Source organism: Homo sapiens, chromosome 9 (genome assembly GCF_000001405.40).
Source record: "Homo sapiens chromosome 9, GRCh38.p14 Primary Assembly".
Taxonomy (NCBI): domain Eukaryota; kingdom Metazoa; phylum Chordata; class Mammalia; order Primates; family Hominidae; genus Homo; species Homo sapiens.
The window spans coordinates 14153058-14176681 of record NC_000009.12 but is presented as its reverse complement, the minus strand read 5'-3'; the positions used below and the strand labels follow the sequence as shown (position 1 = coordinate 14176681).

General features: G+C 36.4%; 1 protein-coding gene across 32 annotated transcripts in view; it reads left to right on the top strand.

The window, feature by feature from the left end:
* Positions 1 to 23624, top strand: part of NFIB (nuclear factor I B) — a 450235-nt gene that overhangs the window by 355396 nt on the left and 71215 nt on the right. For all 32 annotated transcript variants that reach the window (NR_161383.1, NR_161382.1, NR_161384.1 and 29 more), the window contains one exon: positions 20789 to 20857. Coding sequence is in view for 27 of the 32 variants with exons in the window: in NM_005596.3 (NP_005587.2) it covers positions 20789 to 20857 (69 nt within the window). In the remaining 5 variants the exon portion in view is untranslated. The remainder of the gene's footprint in view (positions 1 to 20788; positions 20858 to 23624) is intronic.

Below are 23624 nucleotides of genomic sequence, written 5' to 3'. Positions count from 1 at the left end.
GATAGGCCTTTAGTTCTTACTTTGAGTTTCTGTGTTGGAATTAGTATTTAAGCACAAGCAGCAAAGGCAACGCATTTTTGGAAAGGAATATTTGATATTATTTTATAAAATATTTAAGTAATTTTTTGTCATTTGTTATTTTATAGAGCTTTTAAGTAGCCTTTATGGTATTTCTTTAAACGATTTGTGACTTAAATGTTTTGTTTGCATTCTTTGTTACGTGGCAGGGGTGGGCACCGTAATCTTTTTGGAGTGAAGGTGCTCTACAACTCAGATAGCACCCAAGGACATGGCATTGCAATTTTGGCTGAGAAGCGCTAAGCACTTCATTTTTCTAGGGATACACATTTGCCTTGTTTATGATAGAGTCAGAAGTTATATATTTATATTCACTTCTTCTTCTTTGTTTTTTTTTTTTTTTTTTTAACAAGTTAATCCCTCCTAAGCAATAGAACTAAAAATGTCCTCTCTTGGTTATAGCAAACAACTCTTGTGGACCAAATGAGGGTAAACCATTAATTTTGGGACTTAGACATGAATCTCTTTTTACCTTTAATAATTAAAAACTCCACTGCTACTTTTAGGAAATGTGTGATTGATTGGATGGTAATCTTTGGAAATTAGCTTTGACTTGCTTTATTATTTTGTGTGTCTACATTCTTTGGACTATGATCTTTAAGATTTCCCAATCTCAATCCCTTGACTAATCCTAGAATGGGTAAAATCCAAGGAAAACATAGCAATCTAGAATTCAGATTTTTGCTTCTAAGTCAGTTCCAAACTAATGTCTTATTTTGGAGTTCAGGAAGGCTGGTAGTTTTGTGGGGAATTCTCTGCTGGTAATATGACGAAGACATGTTAAATGCTAGGGCAGTTTTTGCAAATTTTATGATATAAACTTTTGGGGCCTTTCTAGTATCATTAAGCAGAACTTTCTTACCGGGAATAACATGGACTTAACATGCTACTTTCCTTTTTGTAGGTTTTATAGGTGCTTGTGCTATTTTGTGTGTTGACTTATGCATGTAGTGTGGCAACACCTCTGGGAACCAGTAGGATTATATATTGGGTGTACCTCAAGTAAGCCACCTTATATCCTCTCTGGAGCAAGGATGACACTAAATAAATAACTGAGTAAATCAAAGAAGGATTATCTATTAATGATAGCTATGTGCTTATCTTGCACTTAAGAAATTCTTTAAGTCGCTGGCTGGGCGTGGTGTCTTACGCCTGTAATCCTAGCACTTTGGGAGGCCGAGGCGAGTGGATCACGAGGTCAGGAGATCGAGACCATTCTGGCTAACATGGTGAAACCCCGTCTCTACTAAAAATACAAAAAAATTAGCCGGGCATGGTGGCGGGCGCCTGTAGTCTCAGCTGCTGGGGAGGCTGAGGCAGGAGAGTGGCGTGAACCTGGGAGGCGGAGCTTGCAGTTAGCCGAGATCGCACCACTGCACTCCAGCCATCCTGGACAACAGAGCGAGACTCCATCTCAAAAAAAAAAAAAAAAAAAAGAAATTCTTTAAGTCATAAAAATTTTGAGATAGCTCTCTCTCCAATGTTATTTTATAGATACTGAAATCAAAGCCAACAGAAGGTTGTCATAAAACTAATAGAAACAAACCAAATAATTATTAGGAAAACTAGTTCAAAATCTTCAGTATTCATTGTCATTTGTTCATCTGTTGAGATCACTAGAGCCGATATTTGCTTGATTTTTCAGATCTTAGAATTTAGGACAAACTTAGTACTTTTTAATCTGTACATAAAGGCAGATAAATTCGCATAGGTCCTTGAGGACCTCATACCACGTTTTATCTTGGAATATGGTGTTCAAAGTCAAAGTCAAAGAAAAGAGAAATTTACTCTGGCTTTTTCAAATCATATTTCATTCACTTTTTTTTTTTTTTTTTTTGAGATGGAGTCTCACTCTGTCGCCCAGGATGGAGTGCAGTGGCGTGATCTCGGCTCACTGCAACCTCTGCCTCCCGGGTTCAAGCAATTCTCCTGCCTCAGCCTCCTGAGTAGCTGGGATTACAGGCGCCTGCTACCGTGCCTGGCTAATTTTTTCTATTTTTAGTAGAGATGGGGTTTCACCATGTTGGCCAGGCTGGTCTTGAACTCCTAACCTCGTGATCCACCCGCCTCAGCCTCCCAAAGTGCTGGGATTACAGGCATGAGCCACCGCACCCGGCCTCATTCACTTCTTAATAAATTCATGTCTATTCCTTCTCATGTCCTCATTTATTGTGTCCATTAGGATCAAGATGTTTTTAATGAGGAAAAATGCACTATTTCATGATACTTAAAAGGTGATTTTAAACTTTGGCACTAGACAATGTGCATTCGACTATAAATAGGCTCTCTATTCATAAAAATATTTGGAGAAAGATGCTGAAAGGACTGGTTAATGGCAGGTAAGACCTGACATCGTAGGTAAAACCTTTAAGTAATTTGAGAATGAGGTCTGTATGGGTCAGTGCTAAAATCAAAGGACTTTTTTTTTAATGTATTTTGTTTTAAAACATTTTTCTTCTTTATCCTCTAACTTGTTTGGAGACGTCACATTCAATAAAGTTCTTAAATGTTCAAATTTAGAATAGGATTCAGAGTAAAGGAAGAGAGGATGAGGGAAGTGTTTCTTTCACAAATTACTCTTAAAAAGCCAGAAGAACGCATAGCCCTCAGCTACATAATTTTACAGGGTACATTATGGGAACTTGTATACAGCCCACTCATGAAAGGTTGATCTACATAGCAGTTGGCACCATGCCCAGCCTCCACAGTGCTTCTAGCCTGATTATTTGTAATACTTAATGTGAAAGAGTCAAAAAAAGGGGACAATTTAGGAATGTCTTGTAAGGTCCTGAGAGAAGGAGATTTTTCCATGTCTCCCCAGTCACCTACTCTATCAGATAACAAATTATATTAATTGCCTAACGATTGCTGAGTTAACAATTAAATACTACATTTGAGTCAGCTCAACATTAGAAGCAGAGACAGCCATTTGCCCTTGTGTAAAATACACACCATTTTATACCAAGAACCATAAACAATTCAGAAAGAGCTGTCTATAGGTAGATTTTTCAGCCAGCAGATATTTATTGAGCATCTATTGTATGCATCACACTCGGCTAGATACTGGAGAAGATAAAAATGTGAGTTACACATGAACCTTGCTTTTCCCAAATGTTTTTGTTCATAAAATCTACAAAATAATATATACATAATTATAATATATGAAATGTATATTACATATGTATTTATATTTAAGATAAAGACTAAATATTAGTGTTACGATGCAGGTCTTGTAGGAGTTCAAAGTTGTGAAATACTGTTTCCCACCATTGTAGGTGGCATGGTGGAGTGAAAAGAGCATGAACTTTGGAATTAAAATTTTCCCTTGAATGATTATAAGGGTCATCAGGAGAATGAGCAAGTCAGCCAACCGCTTTGTGCAGTCAATTATGTTCATGCCAGTTGTGAGGATCACATAGGGGAGCACACCTGACAGATAGCAGGTGCTTGATAAAAGTGAGGGGTTTTTTCATTCTACTTTCTCTTCAGCTAGTTTGATCAAGAAGGCTTCCTGCAGAAAGTATCATTTGATGTGGAATCAAATAGAAATGTGTTGAATTGTAATCCCAGCACTTTGATAGGCTGAGGCGGGCAGATCACAAGGTCAGGAGTTTGAGACCAGCCTGGCCAACATAGTGAAACCCCGTCTCTACTAAAAATACAAAAATTAGCCGGGTGTGGTGGCACTTGCCTGTAGTCCCAGCTACTTGGGAGGCTGAGGCAGGAGAATCGCTTGAACCTGGGAGGCAGAGGTTGCAGTGGGCCGAGACCATGTCATTGCACAGCAGCCTGGGTGGCAGAGTGAGACTCCGTCTCAAAAAAAAAAAAAGTGTTGAATTTTTATACTGCTCTTCTCTAAAGGCTTAAGATGACATACCGAAGTTACAGAAGATGCATAAGAATAGAATGTTAGAGATTTTATAAAGGAGGCAAAAGAAACAGATGCTTTCAAGTCTCATGATGAAATAGAATTGTAATTTTTAGAAAGCAAATGTTGTTATAAGCCTATTGGCATAAAAGGAAAGGTGGAGTGACTTTTGTTACATAAATCTCAGTATTGACATGAGAAAAGGTACAAATGTATCTTTAGAGATTACTTTTTTCCTACCAAGAATTTATCTTGTAGAAGCTTGTATTAACATTGTATAATTTTTTTCCCCTCCTTTCCTTTCCATGGTGTTTCTACTTTATGAAGCCATCAACTTTCTGTGTCTATTGAAACTTCTGTCTGTCCTTTACTTTTCCTAGCCCTCTTACTCTGCCTCTTATTTCACTGATTCCTACCTACCAACTTATTTCTTATTTTAAAACATACATCTTTTGTTCCTCATTTGGACAAACCCCTTTAACCAAGTGTCTCATCTCTCTCTCTTCTTCTTCGTAACATGGCATGAAGGATGTCAAAGTCTCATCTTGATTTCCCCTGAAATTCCATCTTGATTTCTTCTCAGCTTCTGTCCCCACTGAAATGATTCTCATTAAATCCATGACCAGTGGTTTCTTTCTGTCCTGTTCTTGCTTCCATATTCCTGAATATTTATTTGATTTAGTTGGCCATGCTCTGTTTAAAACTTTGCCCGTGCCTCTGAAAACAGGACCTCTCCTGGTAATCCAGGAACCTTCCTATGTTTAAAAATTGCATATGGTGATTTCTTCTGTCTTCTTAATCAGATTTTTGTCTTTAATTCTCTGTGTTTTCAGTACCTTGCGATTTTTAAAGTATATTAACCTTTTCTCCTAGATGTTTACCTTTGAAATACCTCTCTCTCCTAATGATTTAGACCTATGTGTCCAACTACTTTTCGGACATGTTTCCCTAGATGTCTCATGGTTAACTCCAATTTAACATTTCCAAAGTTAAATTTATTTTATTTTACCAGACTTGGGTTTTTTGTTTTCTTTGTTTTTGCTTTTTCCCTTTTTAAGATATCCTGGAGTCACCAGAATCCTATCTAGATACCCTTGGTTAGAGTTGCTCATGATTTCTTTCCCAGGAACCCTTTTTCTTCCTTATCCTCCACATATTCATTCATATTCTACTTTGAAAGGTCTCTTGAATTTACTTTTACCTCTCAGTTACCATTACCCTTATTTGACCTCTGAACACTGTTTCTTGCCTGAAATTGAGGAAAAACCTTTAAAAAATGTGACTGCCTACTGGGCAAGAGATGTGTGCACACAAGTTTATATTTAAAGGAGCAGTCATAGTGGAGTCAGAGATGTCTACCCCTTCCCAGGGAATATAAGATGCATGGAACAGTTTGGATAAAAGGATGAACAAGAGGTTGTAGGGTGGATATAGTCCTAGCCGAGGAAAGAGCATTTCACATGGAAGAAGGGGAAAGGAAGGGAACTTGGTGTCTGAGCAAGGCTTGAGCAGCATTTAAAGCCGTGACATAGAATATAGGTTCATAAGTAGTGAGTCATCAGGGGTTTTTCAGCAAGTCAGATTTGTGTTTCATGACTTGTGTTAATATACAGGTCAGAGAAAGAAAGAATGGGGAGAAGAGTTAATTTCAACACAGTACTCTCCTTTCACAATGCTGTCAGAGAAAGGACTCGTTCATGGGCTACAGTTAGTTCAAACTTTCCTTAACTTTACAACGGTATTTTAAGGTCTCGTGTTATCTGAAATGGTGTCATAAGGTAACATAGAATCCAAGTAAAATTTTAATATATTGATGTAGGCACTTAATTAATACTGTACCTAGTTCCAGAAAACTTCCAAGAGGGCTTGCACAGAAATAGCTTGTAATTTGCTAAATTTTAAAGGCTATTGCTATAACCTATATTTTTCTTAGTTGAATGTCTAGGTTCCCCTTAAGGGAGGGTCAGAATCCTCATGTGAAAAGACGTCTGAGTCATAAATTCCTCTAGGTGAGGTTGTGATGGTACCTGCTGTTCTGGGCAGTGTTGTAGTGATGGCTTTTACCCAAGTATCTCATGTAACTCCCCCTCTCCCCGAGATGGGGTCTTGCCTTGTTGCCCAGGCTGGAGTGCAGTGGCATAGTCATGGCTCACTGCAGCCTGCCTCCTGGGTTCAAACAATCTTCCCACCTCAAGCCTCTCAAGTAGCTGGGACAACAGGCATGTGCCACCATGCCCAGCTAATTTTTAATTTTTTTGTAGAGACAGAGCCTTGCTATGTTGCCTAGGCTGGTCCCCAGCTCCTGGGCTGAAGTGATCCTCCCACCTCAGCCTCCCAAAGTGTTGGGATTATAAGCATGAGCCACCATGCCTGGCCTCAGGTTCCTTCTACGGTGGCCTCCTGCATCCAAAGTTTCCTCTCAGTTTAAATTCTTTCCCTCTCCATATTTACAAGATCTGCTTTTGCCACATACAGCTACAATTTAATAATGCAAAGCATTTTCTGCCTCACAGACGGAAAGCTGGGATTGTTTTGTATCACAAATATAGTGGACTTGCTCTAGGCTTGTTAAAATCACTGAACTTTGCAGAAGTTAAGCTCGCTGGACTAAACTGTCCAGGCACTAAGGCAACTCTCACTTGTATATTTAAGCATAATGTTTAAAAAGAGAGTACAATTCTATAGTAATATATTGCAAACAGAATAAAATATTAAGTAGATATGTGTCTAATTACCCGAGGAGTTTTAATCTTTTTCTACCTTATAGGATTAAAGGATGTGATTTAAAGATCTTGGACAAATCTCCTACTAAAGTCTCAGTTTTTCTTTCCTTCTCCGTGACTATGAAAGCGTATCTAGGTAATGAATAATTTAAGCAAGGACTTTTGTGTGTTAATTTGACTGTTGTTTGTTTGTTTGAGAAGGAGTCTTGCTCTGTTGCCCAGGCTGGAGTGCAGTGACATGATCTCAGCTCACTGCAACTTTTGCCTCCCAGGTTCAAGCAATTCTCCTGCCTCAGCCTCCTGAGTAGCTGGGACTACAGGCATGGGCCGTGTCCGGCTAATTTTTGTATTTTTAGGAGAAGTGGGGTTTCGCCATGTTGGCCAGGCTGGTCTTGAACTCCTGACCTCATGTGATCCGCCCACCCTGGCCTCCTCAAGTGCTGGGATTACAGGCGTGAACCACCACACCCAGCTGACTCTTATTAGCTTTTGCTTGATAATGTCATTGATCATAGAAGAATTTAAGAAACAATGGTCAGGTTTTGGTTTTCAAAGTTGTTACAAATCTTTTTGGGGTCTTTTGACTTACATTCTGCTCTTTAGGGACCTTGGCATCTTTCATACCAAACTCCTGTTTTTGCTGAGATATTTTAATTCCTGATTCCACTAGACATATCTTCCCCTTGCGCAGTGCTCTATACCTTGCATGTATGTGTGTTCCTGCAGTATTCAGCAGGAAGAAGACAGGAAAACCACTTGACTTTCAGATTTGATCTTATTAAAATCATCACTTCCACTTGTTAATGTCATGAAACAAACAGTGACATGATGAATGGTAAGATGCTGGCTCCATTGTGTATTTTGCAGTAATGTTTTCAATGCAATGGATTTTTCATTTTAAAATTTGGTATTTTGGACTGCTGTCATTTTCTGAATTGAAGTACTTTCTAAGCAGAGCAGTATTTTCTAAATAAGTAAGATAGAACTAGAAGATGATCATGTCTGTTGGGACATGATAAAGTATTCTGCTATTTTATGCTTACCATGTCCAAATTGATATCCAAAAATAGCCCACATGAATAATGTTACCTTATATAATGTTGATGGGTGAAGAAGGGAGTACTTGTGAGCTTTTGGGAGAAAGAATGTAGAAAGAACAGAGGAATGAATACAAAGGCTCAGGCTGCTGATGAGAGGGGCAAAATGTTTTAAAAAGAAGGTAATTGATGCTGAATCTTAATAACTCTTTAAAAACCTTTACACTTTGCCTCTTTAACTAGCTCACCTAGATCATTTTAATCATTTCCTAATCTCTGTAGCGATATTTTGCCTCATGTCTTAATCCCTCTGATATATCCATTACAGGTCTGTGGTGATGTGCAAATCTGATTATTTCATTCACCTCCTTGTATGGTTCCAAGGTCTCCACTCTAGCCTAAGCCTAGCTCGTTAGCATGACATACAATATGACCCTTCATGATTTGTCCGTTGCACACATGGACTATGCCTTTAGCGTTAGCCGTGTGCTGCTTCTTTGTATCTTTGCTCATGTTGTTTCTCTGCCTAGAATGCTTGTACTCCCTTGTCACCTCCTCAGTGAGACTTCTTCAGAGCCTCTCTGCAGTGCTGTTTTACAGTACTAGCATTTAGTGCACTATTTTATCTCTATTTTCGCATCTACTCCCCTTAATGAATTCTGAGCCCCTTTGGGTGAGTATTGCATTCTTCTTTTTTGTATACCTATCATCCAAGGCAATGCCTACCTACAGACAATGTCCAAGATTTATGAAGCAGAGGCTTAGACCAATAATAGACTAAATAAATAACCTGTTCTTGCAGTGTGTGGGATCATTCCCTTACTCAGAACCTGACCTAGGCCTAGAAAAAGCGGGTACTTCTGCGGAGATACTTACAGTGATCCTCTTATGCCCTGTAGGTATACCACATCCTAGACATGATTATTTGGAATATTTTTCTGAACTCCTCATCTTATGTAGCATACTGATGATGAATTTTGTAGAGAGGTATCTGACTGAGAATTGTAGCACTCCAATATAATTGCTGATTCAGAATACTAATCTCAGGTGGATAGAGTTTCTCTTCTCCCAGTTTGACAAATTATAGAGAAGTCCTGTTTGCTGCTTTTGTGCTTTTGTTTACTAGGGAGTATACTACAGTGTTCTTAGAGTTCACTTGACCATGAATGAGGAACCTGGTAAGATAACATTCTAGAAGCTGCAAAAAAATACCTGACTGTTGTAATTCATACCTTCAAAAATATTCCTGATTACACTGAATGTTTCTGATTCACTTGTGATTCTTTTTGTGCTGTGGAAATAGCACTTTTTGAAAATTTGGAAACCACTCTTTATAGGTCACTTGCTAACTTTATTGAGGTATAATAGCATACAATAAGTTGCATATATATAGTGTACAGTTAGATGAGTTTTGACATATGTGTTTGTTTGTTTTGTTTTGTTGAGACAGCATCTCACTCTGTTGCCCGGTCTGGAGTGCAGTGGTGTGATCTTGGCTCATTGCAACCCCTGCCTCCCAGGTTCAAGCAATTCTCATGCCTCAGCCTCCTGAGCAGCTGGCACTAGAGGCGCGTACCACCATGCTATGTATTTTTAGTAGATGTAGGGTTTCGCTATGTTGTCCAGGCTGGTCTTAAGCTCCTGGACTCAAGTGATCCACCTGCCTCGGCCTCCTAGAGTGCTGGGATTACAGGCATGAGCCACCACACCCAGCCAGTTCTGACGTATGCATATACTCATGAAATCAGTACCACACTCAAGGATGATGACGTTTCCTCTAATCCCAAAGGTTTCGTCTACCCTCATCTTCAGATGACTTATTGATCTGTTTTCTGTCTCTTCCAATTAGTTTACATTACTGAATATGTTAAAAAGGGGAACCCCCCCCCCCCGACACACACACACAACAATATGCCCTTGGTGAGAAAATATGGAGGAACAAGGGAAATGGGATATGATCAAGAACCACGAGGACATATCTTTGAAAATAAAGAACTAGAAAAAAATTCCAGAGAAAATGTTTACCCAGAAGACTTATACGAAAAGTGAACCTACAAAAGAATAGCTTCAATAAATGCGGTATTCTGTGAGATGAGGAAGAATATCAAGAAAAACTAAATTGCTTTCATAGCGTTAAAATTGCATCGGAGGAGTAAGAAACAGCACTGATACTGTGGAAAAAAGCATTGATATAGAGGACAACCCCAAGATACTTATTCCAGAAGCAGAGGAAACACAGAGGTTAAGATGATGAGAAAAGGGTTGATGATGAGAGAATAGAAAATTCAAGGTTTATTTAGGTGTTCATTGTGGAGAAATTGGAGGATGTAGGATCAAAGACAAATGGAGAAAAATTTGATGAGCTAAAAATTATCTATGTGGATTAAAAGGACTAATGCTATTCCAGCCACATAATGAGAGGCTTGTATCTAAATATATCCTGTTGAAATTTTTACATTTCGTGGATGAAGAAAATTTTGAAATGTCCTGGATGAAAAACAAGTTACTTCTAGATTTCCTTTTATCGACATTAAATAACAGGAGACAGTGGGAGAATACTTGAAATTGTGATGGAAAAAACATTGTTTTTCACTCAAGGAGTTTCACCTACAGTCAAAGGCAATGGAAATATATTCTTTATTACTCATGGTATCAAAAAATAGAGTTCCTCATTTTATTTGCAAAAATGTTACTTGAATACCTATTCTGACTGGCAATGTGATGACTCAATAAAAAAATTAAGAACAGGAAAGTATAACCATAAATATATGAATAAAAATATAGATAGAGACTAATCATGAGAATAGTAACAATTAAGGTGAGAATTATGACCAAGTAATTGTTATAAATAAGATGACAGACATAAATGTCAATGTAAAAGATTGTTCTTGAATATATGTAAACAAGAATGTGGTTAACAATCTGGGTCCAAAATTTTAGACTGCATTTTTAAATTTTAGTGAAATACGCGTAACATTAAATTTGTCATCTTAACCATTTTTAAGTGTACAATACAGTAGTGTGAAATGTATTCACGTCATTGTGCAACCAACCTCCAGAAACTTTTCATCTTGCAAAACTGAAACTCAATACCTGTTAAATAACAGCTCTCCATTCCCTACTCTCCCCAGCCCCTGGCAACCACCATGTGACTTTGTTTCTATGAGTTTGACTACCCTAGATAGTTCATGTAAGTGGAATTATACAGTATTTGTCTTTTTGTGACTGGCTTTTTTCCAGATTACATTTTTAAGGGCTGCAAAGAGGAGGAGGCTGGGGAGGTTGGGAAAATAGGAATGACAGACTAGTGTTCCCCTTTTAGAATAATTTATTGTTGAATTTTGCTGAAGAGTCTGTATTATTTGCTTTGTCTCTATTTGTGCTTAGATTTATTATTAGGTAAGCCTGCCTCTTGGTGTCAAGTACATTTTCAGCATCTTGATATGGTCATATGACTTTTTCCTCTATCGTAATGATAGCTTTTCTCATAGTGAGCTGCACTCATTCATGGAATAAACCCTGATTATAATAGTGTATTGTTCTTTTGATAATATTGCTGTATTCAATTTCATATTTTATTTAGGCATCTTGAAGTCACATTTACTTGTGTGCTTGATCTTTCATTGGTTGGTTCATTGTTTTGTTTCGATGAGAGAGGCTACAAATTTAGGTATTCAAGTTTTGCTGGCCTCATAGAGGCTTATAAGAAAGTGTTCTTCATGAGGAAGCTTGTCTTATTTCCTAAGGCCTGGGAGAGTGTAAATAACATTGGAACCTAAAGACTAGATAAAGGATACATAAAATCCAGCTGTGCACTCGCCTGGACCTGGTGCTGTTTTCAAAGGTGGTTCTTACTCACATTTCTAGTATGTTCTAGGATTGTCAAATTTTTAAGTACACTTATGAATCACCTGCAGATCTCATTAAGCTGTGGATTCTGATTCTGAGGGTCTGGGGTAGAGCCTATTCTTCTTCACTTCTAATAAGCTCCCCAGTTATGCCAGTGCTAGTGGCTCTGGAACCACATTCTGAATGTGGTGTCATAGTGATTCCCAAACTTTGCTGTACATTTGAATCACTTGGGGGAACTTTTAAAAGAGTTCTCATGTCCAGGTCTCACCCCATATCAATTAAATCAGAATAGCTGGGGTTGGAAGCCAAACATAAACTGCTTTCAAGAATCCCAGATGGTTCCAGTGTTCAGCAAATTTGGCAACCACTACACTAGGATAATCGGTCCACTCAGGTTTTACACTTCTCTGCTCAATTTTGGTTACTTTTAGTTTACTAATACTTGCCCATTTAAGTTTTCAAAGTTGTAGTCAATAAGTTGTATGTATTATTCTCTCATAATTGTTTTAATGTATTTGATTTCTATGGTTATGTCTTCTTTTTATATTTGTATGTCATGTACCACATCATGATAGGTCAGTCGAAGACAGATTACATATGGCAGTGGTCCCATAAGATTATAATATTTTTATGGTACCTTTGCTATGTTCAGATATGTTTAGATACACACATACCATTGTCTTAAAATCCCCTACGGTATCAGTACAGTAGTATGCTATACAGGTTTGTAGCCTAGGAGCTATATGCAATTTCATGCATATAGCCTAGGTGTGTAGTAGGTTATACCATCTAGGTTTGTGTAAGTACACTCTGTGATGTTCATACAACCATGAAATTGCCTATTAACACATTTCTCAGAATGTGTCCCTGCCATTAAGCCATTCATGACTATACTTGTATATTTTTACTTTCTCTTTTTCCCTTAATCAGGCATGGAAGTGGTTTTTCTGTCTTGTTGGTCTTTTTAGAGAGTCATTTGTTTTATTTATTTTTTTAAATATTTCTTTTTTTCTATTCTGTTAATTTCAGCTTTTATGTTTAATTTCATCTTTTTAATTTTTGGGGTGGTTGTGATGCTGTTCTTTCTTTTATGGTAAGTAATGGGTTTCTTTCTTTCTTCTTTTTCTTTTCATTGCTTTTTAGATAGTTTATAATTTCCCTTTTGATTTTTCTCTTTGGTTCATGGTTTATTTTCTTAATTTCTAGGTAGTTGAGATAATTCAGTCATTTTTTTATTATTTACTTTTATTTGCCAAAGATGAGACAGTATGGCCTTAAAAGTCTGTACTTTTAGGGATTTGTTAAAGTTGCCTCTTTGGTCAAAAACATGATCGATGTTTTTAGAAGTTCCATGAACATATCAGTAAAATATAATTTGTATTTGAATGATATGAAGTTAGTCTTTGTCTAACAGTCATGTTCAATTCTTAAAAAGATACATTAATAGTAAAAATTCTCACTGTGACTTTATTTTTTATAAAGTTTCTTGTATTTTAATAGATTGTATTCATAATATTTTTTGGTGCATGTGGGGTTTATGATTTATCTTCTTTATTAATTGTGCCTTTTATCCATTTATAATTATCTTTGTTGTAATTCAGCTTAAGTTTTCTCTTAACCGTTGCTGATACTGCTTCCTTTTTGTTTGAATTTGCCTGATTTCTCTTTGCCTACCCATTTATTTACAACTTTTTGTTCTCTTTATTATCATTTTGTGTTAGGTGTGTTTCTTGAAAACAGTTGGATTTTGTATTTTTCAGTTGACCTAAACTCCCTTTATGGGAAAATTCAGTCCATATACATTTATTGTAGTGATTTATGTATTTTATTTTATCCCTTATATTTTACTTCATATTATTATATATTTTTACATCCTATTTTCTTATTTTTGCTGCCTTGATTGCATTCTTATTTATTGTGTTTTCTTTTCTCTTTGCTAATTTGGAAATTCTACTTTTTCTTTTCCTGCTCTTGAGATGTCTGCTTTACTATTACTTGAAAAGATTATGCAATTTTTGCATCTACTCATAGGTAGTATGATTATTACCTATATTTTAGGGAAGAGAAATGTGAGGTGTAGAAGAGTTAGACAGCTTGCCTTAGGTTTACATAGTAAATGGTGATAGTCTTGCCCCAGGGCTGCCTTTTTAGCTAGTATGCTTTAACACCGTTGGAGAGAGGCATACCTTCCACATCCATTAAAAAGATAAGAGGGCATACATTTAATTTTATTATGCCATAAAAATAAACATAGCCCACTTAGTAAACTGTAAAATAACGGTGCTAATAAATTTATAAATCTGAAAAATTGAATTTTTTTGGAAAATATATAATAAAATTTATCTCAACATTAGAAAGCAAAAGTAGAATAGTATTCACGATTCAGAGTTATCTAAGAGTCTTCTCTGCAACAGATTCAAGGAAGATGATATTACTAGTAAAGTTTTCCAAACATTCAATAACTTTTTATGAAATAATATTTTGTTTTGTTCCAGAGCATAAAACATATTGGGACAATGATCAAAACCATTTTATGAAGCATGTGTATACTCCTGGTATAAAAACTTGACAAATAAAATACAAAAATTTCCATAAAAGCTTTCCAGCTACCTGTAGAAATATTAGAAGAAACTGAGCCAACCAGTTCAACAGTAAATTTAAGAACTGTCTTCCATGGATGAGCAAAGATAATTAAATCTACGAATTCAGTAATATATAACACCAATAAATGCTGTTAGAAAAAAACCGGAGAATCTCTACTAATGCCAAAAAAGAATTTGATAATATTCAATAGCCATTCTCGTCAGAAAACTTTTTAAAAATCTGAGAAAACTAGGAATAAGTGAGTACTTTTTCAGATAATGAGAAAAAAAAATCAGTGATAAATTCATAGCCAACATTTTCATTGTGAAACTGTAGATGCAATCTCATTGATATTAGGAAAAAAATTTCCTGCTAGCACAATTTCTATTTTATATATTTTTAATGTTTGTGTATTTATGAATGTTCTGATTTTTAAAATGTTTTGTTTCTTAATGTTCTGGTGAAAGAAATATGCTCATATATCTGAAATGAGTCCATTTTATTAAAATGAAATAAATGAAAGTTGTAACATTAATGTAATGACCTTTTTTCTCTATCAACTTGCCACAATTAAAAACAAATCCCTACTAATATGTAAGTCTGGCAGCAGGATTGTGAGATGGACATGCTCACAGCTTGCCCTAAGGAGTGTAAGTTGGCAAAACAACTTTGTGGAAAGCTGCTTGACAGTTTTTACCAAGAGTTTTAAAAGAGTTTATGTCCTTTGACCCTGTAATTCTAATTCTGGGAACTCCAGCCTAAGGAAATCATGAGAATGGCTGACAAAGATTTGTGTATGAGGATGTTAATTACAGTGCTATTTGTTTATTATATTTTAAAAATTGGGAAATAACCTAAAATGCCAAACAATGGAATGGTTAATATAAAGTATGATACAGCCATGCAATATATAGTCATAAAGATCATGCTTTTGAAAAACTTTATCTAAAAGGACAGATACAATGTTAATAGGAAAAAAGCTGGATACAACTATATTTAAATTTGATATTGATTTTATAAATAAATATATATATATATGCGGAAAAAGTTTAAAGGACTGGAAGGAAATATTGAAAAAAATATAATGCTATCAGGGCGTGTTAAAGTTGGGAAATTTCTGACTCCCTCCAAGATCACCTAAATCATCCTCGTGGGTTTACGTTTCATATTGAGAGATACACTTAATTCTAAATTAATATTTGAATGTTAACCTGGGCTATAGGCTGAGATTTAATCTCTGTGAAGAAAATCACCGTCTTTGCAATGATTAATATTTCTATTTTATAATCACAGTTTCAGCTTTAACTTCAACACAAGTTTAGCTTTAACCATGGATAGTTCAAGTCAGTTGAGAAACTGAAGATAGAACTATGTCCTGTAACATCACTACCAGAAAATTACCAATGGGTTAGTTGTGGTATCTGAAGTTATATGAAGATTGGCAAAGAGCTAGTATAAAGTAATCTCTTCTTGTCCCTTTACAAAAAGAATTAAGCCTTCTTTTAAACTCTGTTGAAGAAAGTGAACAATTGCAATCATAGGGCTGGAAAATGCCTATAGATGTCTTATGTCCACCTGTTTGTTCTCCAAATGAACAATGCCAGAAAACTAACATAGGAAAACATCTGTGTAAGAAGGGAGAATCTGTGGGTTGCAGTGGCTTTTGAGATGCTTTCTTCTTTTTTTCTGTTTTTTTTTTTTTTTTTTTTGAGATTTCCTTCACAAAGCAAGAATTTTTATATCCAGTGGGAGTCTTTATAGCCACTGAGAAACTATCTCTGTAAGATGAAAGTTTCCTCATCTGTAAAATGGCAACACCAATAATATGACATATTTTATAAGATAATGGTGAACGTGAAGTTAATGCCTGCTTGTGAAGGTCATCACAGTTGTTGGGAATATATTGGTTATGCTACCTTTGCAAAATTTCACATGCCTTTTTAGGCCTGTTCCCATTGGATGACAAATCTGTTTATTGAGCCAAAAAACAGCTCCTGGAACTATGCAGAATAAGTCAAATCCACCATCTACATTAATAGTCCTTCGAATACTTGAAGACGGCTTTCATGAATTTAATAACTGCTTTCTGTGGCTTCTTTTTTTTTAATTTCAAGAATAGAACACAGTAGACTGTAAAAATGAGCATTATCAGTCTTCCTTTGGATTTTCTATGTAAATGTTGTTTAACATTCAAATGGTACTGATTATAATTTGAGATATTAACAGTTAGATATGCCATTGTGTCCCTCTGTTATTGTTTGTAAAGGAGGTTAAACAGTATATTAACTTCTGAGTAGTGATTTACTGTTGCTTTTGTCAGAGAAAAATAAAAAAGAAGTAAAATAATATAATTTGATATTGCCTTTGAGACTTTTCAGTTTGTAGAAGTCTTTATTTCCTACTCAATTTTATTTTTTTTAAAAAGCACACATGTAGTGTAAATACAGCATCACACAAATGCAGAGTTGTTCTTTTCTTCCTGGATTAAGCTGTTGTGTAATATTGCTCTGTAACCATTAAGCAGCTGCTCTGCCTCAGAGATGCTCATATTTCCTTTGGTAGACGAAGGGAATTTACTATATGAATGTCTCCAAATTGCTTTAAGATCTTTAGCTGTTGTATTAGCTATTTAGATTTACAGTGGTCTATGAAATGTGAAAAACATGTTCCTGAAAGGCCCAAGGACCTTGGAGGTTACAGATGGGGTTATGTTAGCAGCAGATAACCTGACATTTTGCTGAGTTTCACCCCCTATCCTACTGCAGGACCCCTGCCCATTTCAAAATCCTCTCAGTTATTTTGCTACAGCCCTCAAGTATTGTCTTCTGTATGCTAATGAGTAAGCACTAGTAGGTATCCAAGTACTATTTTAAGTATCTGAGTACTATTTCATCCATGATTTCTTTTTCACTCTGCCACGTCTTGGTTAATGCCTGTCCGTTACAAAGGCTATGCTGCCTGCAGAGATGCATGAAGGTGGCAGCCATCTGCTTCCGGTGCTTCTCCCAGGCTACCCCACTTGGCTGATTCTCACCTGTCCCTGTTCCCATAGGTACATGGTTAATAGGCATCATCACTCATCCTCAGGAAACCTTCCTCCACTAAAGTCTCACTGGGCTCCATGCAGGAGTAGAGCCCAGTGGGACCTCTGTGGTTTTTTGCATTTTATCCAGTAGGTTCCAAAGAAGTTCTGATATATTTCCAATGCTTTTCATGGTTTCGGTAAACTACCTCTTTCCATTGTTTCCGTAGATTCCAATTTCTTAGAACCTGGGAAGTTGGGGGTGGGGAGTGGAGAAACACCCTGCTACATTCTGAATTGTCTTCTTTTTTTCTGTGAATAGCTGCAATAGTCATTGTATTGTCTGTGTTTGACTGCCTGACTGTCTTCCCACTGGTAGAATTGGCCTTGAGCTGACTCATCCCTTCTTCATGATTTGGCTTCCAACAGGCTCACACCCCACTCCATCTTAATGGTCATGACTTAGGAGCAGATGGATCTCTGACTTCTCATTGGAGTAATAAGGAAATGAACTTCAGATTACACATAGATATTGTAATGTTATTTTGTATTACCTCTGATATAGTTTATGTAAATACATTGAAATGTTCATCACTTATTCATCGATGTGTTTCACAAATATTTTTGGGCTCTTACTATTTAAACACTTCCAGTTCTTTGGTTGTTACTTTGTATTAAATGCTTGACATTACACATTAGTACACAACAAAGTAAGAGATACAATCCGACCCTAATCATTACTCTTTCTCATGTGACCCAAAAGCCTAAATACACTCTTCAGCAAACAAGTTCTAGGGAATAACAGAGGTTAGTATAATTATCCATAAATCTTAAACCATCTGTATCTACATTGTAATAAAATGACTAAGATGTTAATGTGTGACCCTGTTTGTAAAGTTGAATTTTAAAATTTTGTTCTGTGTTTATTTAGTACTTACTCTATATATAGGCAACGAGTTAGTCATTAAGGAAGATATAGAGATGAACAAAACCCAGTCACTTCTGTAAATAAAGGATCTGATAATCCAGCAATGACTGCAAGACTTGAAAACAGATCTCTCAGAAAATCTGAAAGTACAAAGTATAAAATTAGTACAAACTAGGTGCTATACAAGTACAGAGGAAGGAGATTTCTGGCTGGGCCAGTGGGTGGTAGAAGGAGTTGGAGGAGCAGTTTACAGAGTGGGTGGTGGTTGGGCTGGATTTTGAAGGATGAGACTAGAGTGTGTAGAAAGAGGGCCATCTCATCTCAGGGAGCTGCAGGAGGAAGATATGAAGGGTAGGCATTTACAAAGTACAATTGGGTGATGAAAAATAATCTTGTGTGACTGGTTAAGTATATGAGCTGTAGTCATGATAAAGGAGGTTGTTTTGTTTTTTTGTTTTGTTTTGTTTTTTTTTTTTTTTTGAGATGGAGTCTTGTTCTGTCGCCCAGACTGGAATGCAATGGCTCCATCTCGGCTCACTACAACCTCTGCCTTCCGGGTTCAAGTGATTCTCCTGCCTCGGCCTCCCGAGTAGCTGAGACTACAGGTGCCCGCCACCATGCCCGGCTAATTTTTGTATTTTTAGTGGAGATGGGGTTTCACCATATTGGCCAGGCTGGTCTCAAACTCCTGATCTTGTGATCCACCCACCTCGGCCTCCCAAGATAAAGAAGGTTTTGTACTTAATATATTTACTTTATTAAGTTTACCCTATATAAAATAAAGTATAATGAACTATAAACAATAACAAAAGCAACAAAAATCTTTCTATATGATAGTAAGTTACAGTGGTCCAGAAGAGTCAAAACATCTCTTTCCCCGACCAGGCAAGACAGTCAGTGTCCTTTTTTGTATTCATGACTTTTAGCACCTTGTACAGTGATTGTTACTTAGAAGTTTCTCAATAATTACTGAAATGAATTTAACCTGGTAAAAATTAATTGCTCAAGAAATAAGAGTTTCTTAAAATAGAAGTGCATTAAATTGGGACATTTTGTTATAATACTCTTAAAAATGTATATATATTTTTCAGAATAATGACTTAATGTGGCACCTGTTTTATTCCCTACTGAGATCTTACAACTTCCTCTCACTCCTTCTTTCATTCTGTTTCTAAAGAAGGTGGGTGGGTGGATGTCAAACATCAGTGGCTCCTCAGTTCACAGCAGTGAAACACATATGCTAATTGAATGATTTTCTGTCTTTTCATGCTATGTATGGTTGAAAAGCAGTGTGGTGCCTTTTGTTCTGGTAAATTTTCTGAATAAAGATTTGCGGATCATTTTGGACTGTCTGGAGGCCAGTGTGCGTAATTCGGTATATAGCTGATCGCAGGTTCCACTGGCCCTAAGATCTTAATTTGTTGGTAACATGCTTATCATGGGGTTTATATTTTTATCTCCAGTAGTAACAACTCTATAAGATAGGTGATTTTTATTGTCTCCAATTTGTTAAGTGAGGAATCTGAGGCAAAAAGAGGACTAATAACCTAGCCAAGATTTCATAACTGGTCATCTGTGGCTAGGATTCAAATCCCAGCTCTTTGATTTCAGTGCTCCATGTTGCTGCACTACCCATGCTTCACATCTCTGAACTGCATCTAATTCCTTGGTCAGCCCTGAAGCTTTATGTAAAATCCAGTCAAATTGCCAGTTCTTAGAATCTAGTTTTGTTTGTTTGTTTCTCAGATGTATTTCAATTCTGAGGATTTTCAAACTTATTCTCACCCTAGGACAGAAGCAAGTAGGCCATAACCTCCCCTGCTAAGGTATTCCTCACACTCATTACACCCCCTTAACATAGATGAGAATGGGGTGGGCTGGGTGCAGGGTTACTGTTGTTTGTGGGAGTTCTCATCTCTAGTTTTGGACATAGACCAGCTAGCAAGCAGGCTCCATGGCCACTGTGGACCCTGCCCCGGTGTGACTTAAGGGTCATGTGGCATTCCCAGAGGCCTGGATTCACCACCATTTGCCAGAAAAGTTGTCTAATTCTTGAAATAAAAGGAGTCCAGTGGAATAGTAGCAAGGGTGAGGAAAGCAGTGAAATCGTGCAACGTATATTAAAGATGCCCAGAAATAGGTCAACGCAAAGTTCTGTATTTGCTGTATATACAAGTTCTGCTTTTTATGTTATTAGTGACCCTGGAACAAGGGTCGGGGTGCTGGTAACAGCAGTTCACTTTTCTTTCATCAGAGAAGGGTTTACAAAAGAACGGTGGCTTTAAGAGATCTTTGACATTATTCCAGCAAGGTGCTAATTGTGGTTGTGGTTTCCTTTTTCTTTCTTTCATTTTTCGCTTTAGTCTACCAGGTGCTACCGAGTCAAAAGCATTCACTGAGAGCCCACAGACCATTCTGTATGCATGGGCCATGGCAAATCAAACCGCATCAATAAACCTGTACTTTTAGAAAGGGAAGAAAAAATTTTCCTAAGAGATTATTTGGTATCTAAACTTTTTATTTTTGTTTAAACAAACCTAATTTGCATTCCTAAGAGTCATTTTTTAAAGTCCTTATTGTAAGCATATTTGGTTTTTGTTCAAACCATTGGCTTTAAAACACTTAAATTCTAGTGTATAATCATTTATTTTACTTTCTGCTTATATTGATCATTTTTCCTTTAATATTTATTTTCAGGTTACCTTGAGGATAGTTTTGTAAAATCTGGAGTCTTCAATGTATCAGAACTTGTAAGAGTATCCAGAAGTAAGTAAATTGTTTTGTTACTACTTAAGCATGCAGTATGATTTAAAATACTTTATATTTTGAACCTTAAATGTAGTATAAAGAGTGACCACATATTAGGAAAATTTGAATTAAAATCTTAAAACCTTTGATGAAATAACAATATATTTTGCTTGATTTTCTAAAATGTTTGCATTCAAATCATCAAAACTTTTTGTTGTACAAAAATAATTTTGGGGTTTTTCTGATTGCCATGTTATTGGTATTCATTTAATTCACTGTTCTCTGCATGACCATAGATGGCCATTTATATCAAAGGAAGTGTGATTAATTAAATGTACTCTATGTTGTTATGATAACCCACATAAGTTTCCTGTAGATAAGTGCTTTTTCATTTTACTAACATTTTGGTGGGGGTTGGAGATGCACAGGATATACACACTAACGTGCAGAGTGTAGAGGGATGCAGAAATTAACTTTGCAGATTGTAGTTGGATATAGATAGAAAGCATTGTTATCCAAAACAATGTCCAATTGTTTTAACTGGCCACTTCACCTGAGACACCATTCTTAGCAGGCTGGATCAGATTTTTCTAGGCTAAGCTCACCTGGCAGGCTACCTAAGCAAAGGGGACGTTACCTTGATTAACTCTTTTACTTATTACTAGCATGTACAAACATATCCAAGATGCAGATCTATATGTACTAATTATGTTAAAGAAGGTGACTCCTTTCTTCATACTCCCTTCACTGATTTAGCTTATTTATGTAACTTTGAAGGGTATATTTTCACCTGACATTTTGATAGAATGCATCACACTTCGGAGTGATGTTATTCAGATGATGTAGTCACACTCTGATACCTGCCTAAGTTGTGTTTCTCATTTGGGTCATATTTAGAGGTCATGAATAAGAATTATGATGATCCAGAAAGAACAAAGAGTAATCGAGTTACTGAGGATAAGAATAAGCAGTGTTTTAGAGTCTTGTTGTTCAGTAAAGGAATCTTCACGCTATCACTGACTGTCTTTTGAACCGTAGTTCCTCAAATAGCTCACATTTCTAAAGTGAACAGTGCAAATAGCATGTATAGCAGGGAGTGATACATATGAACGTTTAAGATCTTAAGTAGTTTATCCTTTCTGGTATAATTCTAGAGTGGATAAATGTATGCCCAAAAGACTTCTCTCATGGGTCTTTTTACATGGTGGCAGTGTAGGAGAAGAAACACAAATATCCTGTATTCTGGTAGCCCCAGGGTGTGTATTCGATGGGCAAGGAGATTGTCCAAGGCAGTGTACCTTAATGTGTTTTTCCAGATCAATATGTGATATCCAAAGGTATCCAACATTTGAAAGTTTTCACTTTTAATTTGGGAAGAAATATGCCTGACTTACCAGTAGCACTTTGTAGCATCAGGTAAGACAGGGGTTATCTGAAGGGGTGTGTGTGTCTTCCCCATACTCTTCTTTAGCGGAAAGGCTTATGGTGCTCCAGTTAGGAGGCTTATTAAATTATTTGCTTAAATTTGTACTTCTCTGAGTTCAAGTTCAATGGTATATTTTCATCCTTCTTAGGAGTAGGGCAGTAGAGTCAGCTGTCAGAAAATATTTATTTAGTACCTCATGATAGGTAATATTATGCTAAGGGCTGTCAAAGGAGAACCACATTAGAACCTTCAAAAGCCCAGATAGATATTTTGAAAAATCTGAATTTCAAACATTAAAACAAAGATGAAAATTATCTTTCTAGAACAGTTCAAAACCAAGGTAAATTTAATATACTTCATTCATTCATTCTTAACTTATAATGTCATATCCTAGAAACTTTTAGGTTATTTGTTATAACAAACATTACTGATTTGTAATTAGCACATTAATTATCTATATTCATTACGTAATTTATTCAGCAAACATTTATTTTCTCCTCCATATGTAAATAGGTGTCTCTGAAAGGCCTGATAAGTTCTCCTCCTAAGTGTTTTAATATATCCGCATCATAATCTTTGTTTACACAATTAAACTTCATTATTTATGAAATAGGGGTTTGCTAAGTAAACATAAACTTCAGCACAACACTATGTGTGTATCACAAATTCTGACTTCTTGAGGGTTTACAGTATGCTAGTGCTTTCAGTCCTCTAGGGTTTTACAATCATAAGACCCACTGATGTGTATGTTGACTTTAGCTAATGAAGCCATTCAGCATTAGGATAGTGATCTCTCTTTTGAATGATATTATCTCCATCTTAAAAGTTGATTTAGGATCAGCTTTTGGAGTGAGGAGAACAATAAGGGAGATTAAAGGTTGGCCTCTAACCCTTAGAATCTGAGGTTCTTTGGTGCTTCATTTCTAAGAGGATATCGGCATCCTCTTAAACATGATTTGCAGCTTTCAGCCTTCTTGTAGCTCCCTGGGAGAGGCGCTAACACTGATCTTTGCGTCTGATGTAAGTTCTTCCAGAGGCTCTTAAGCAGGAATATCTGACTGAGACTTGCTGTTCCCACACACTCTGTCATTAAATAATTTCCATGTGTGTTGTTTTAGTACTTTGGCCGTGTTTGTTAATCTACTTTCCTTTCTGTATCTCCCATTTAGTGTCAGAATGCATACTAAATTTTTACAGTGCTCATGCATAAATCCGTAGACAAATTATTTTATTGCTATCTTTACAAAATTAAAACATAATATGTGTACATATTTATGGAATCCATGTGATCTCTGGATCCATGCATACAGTGTATAATGATTAAATCAGGCTATTTAGGATATCTGTCATCTCAAACAT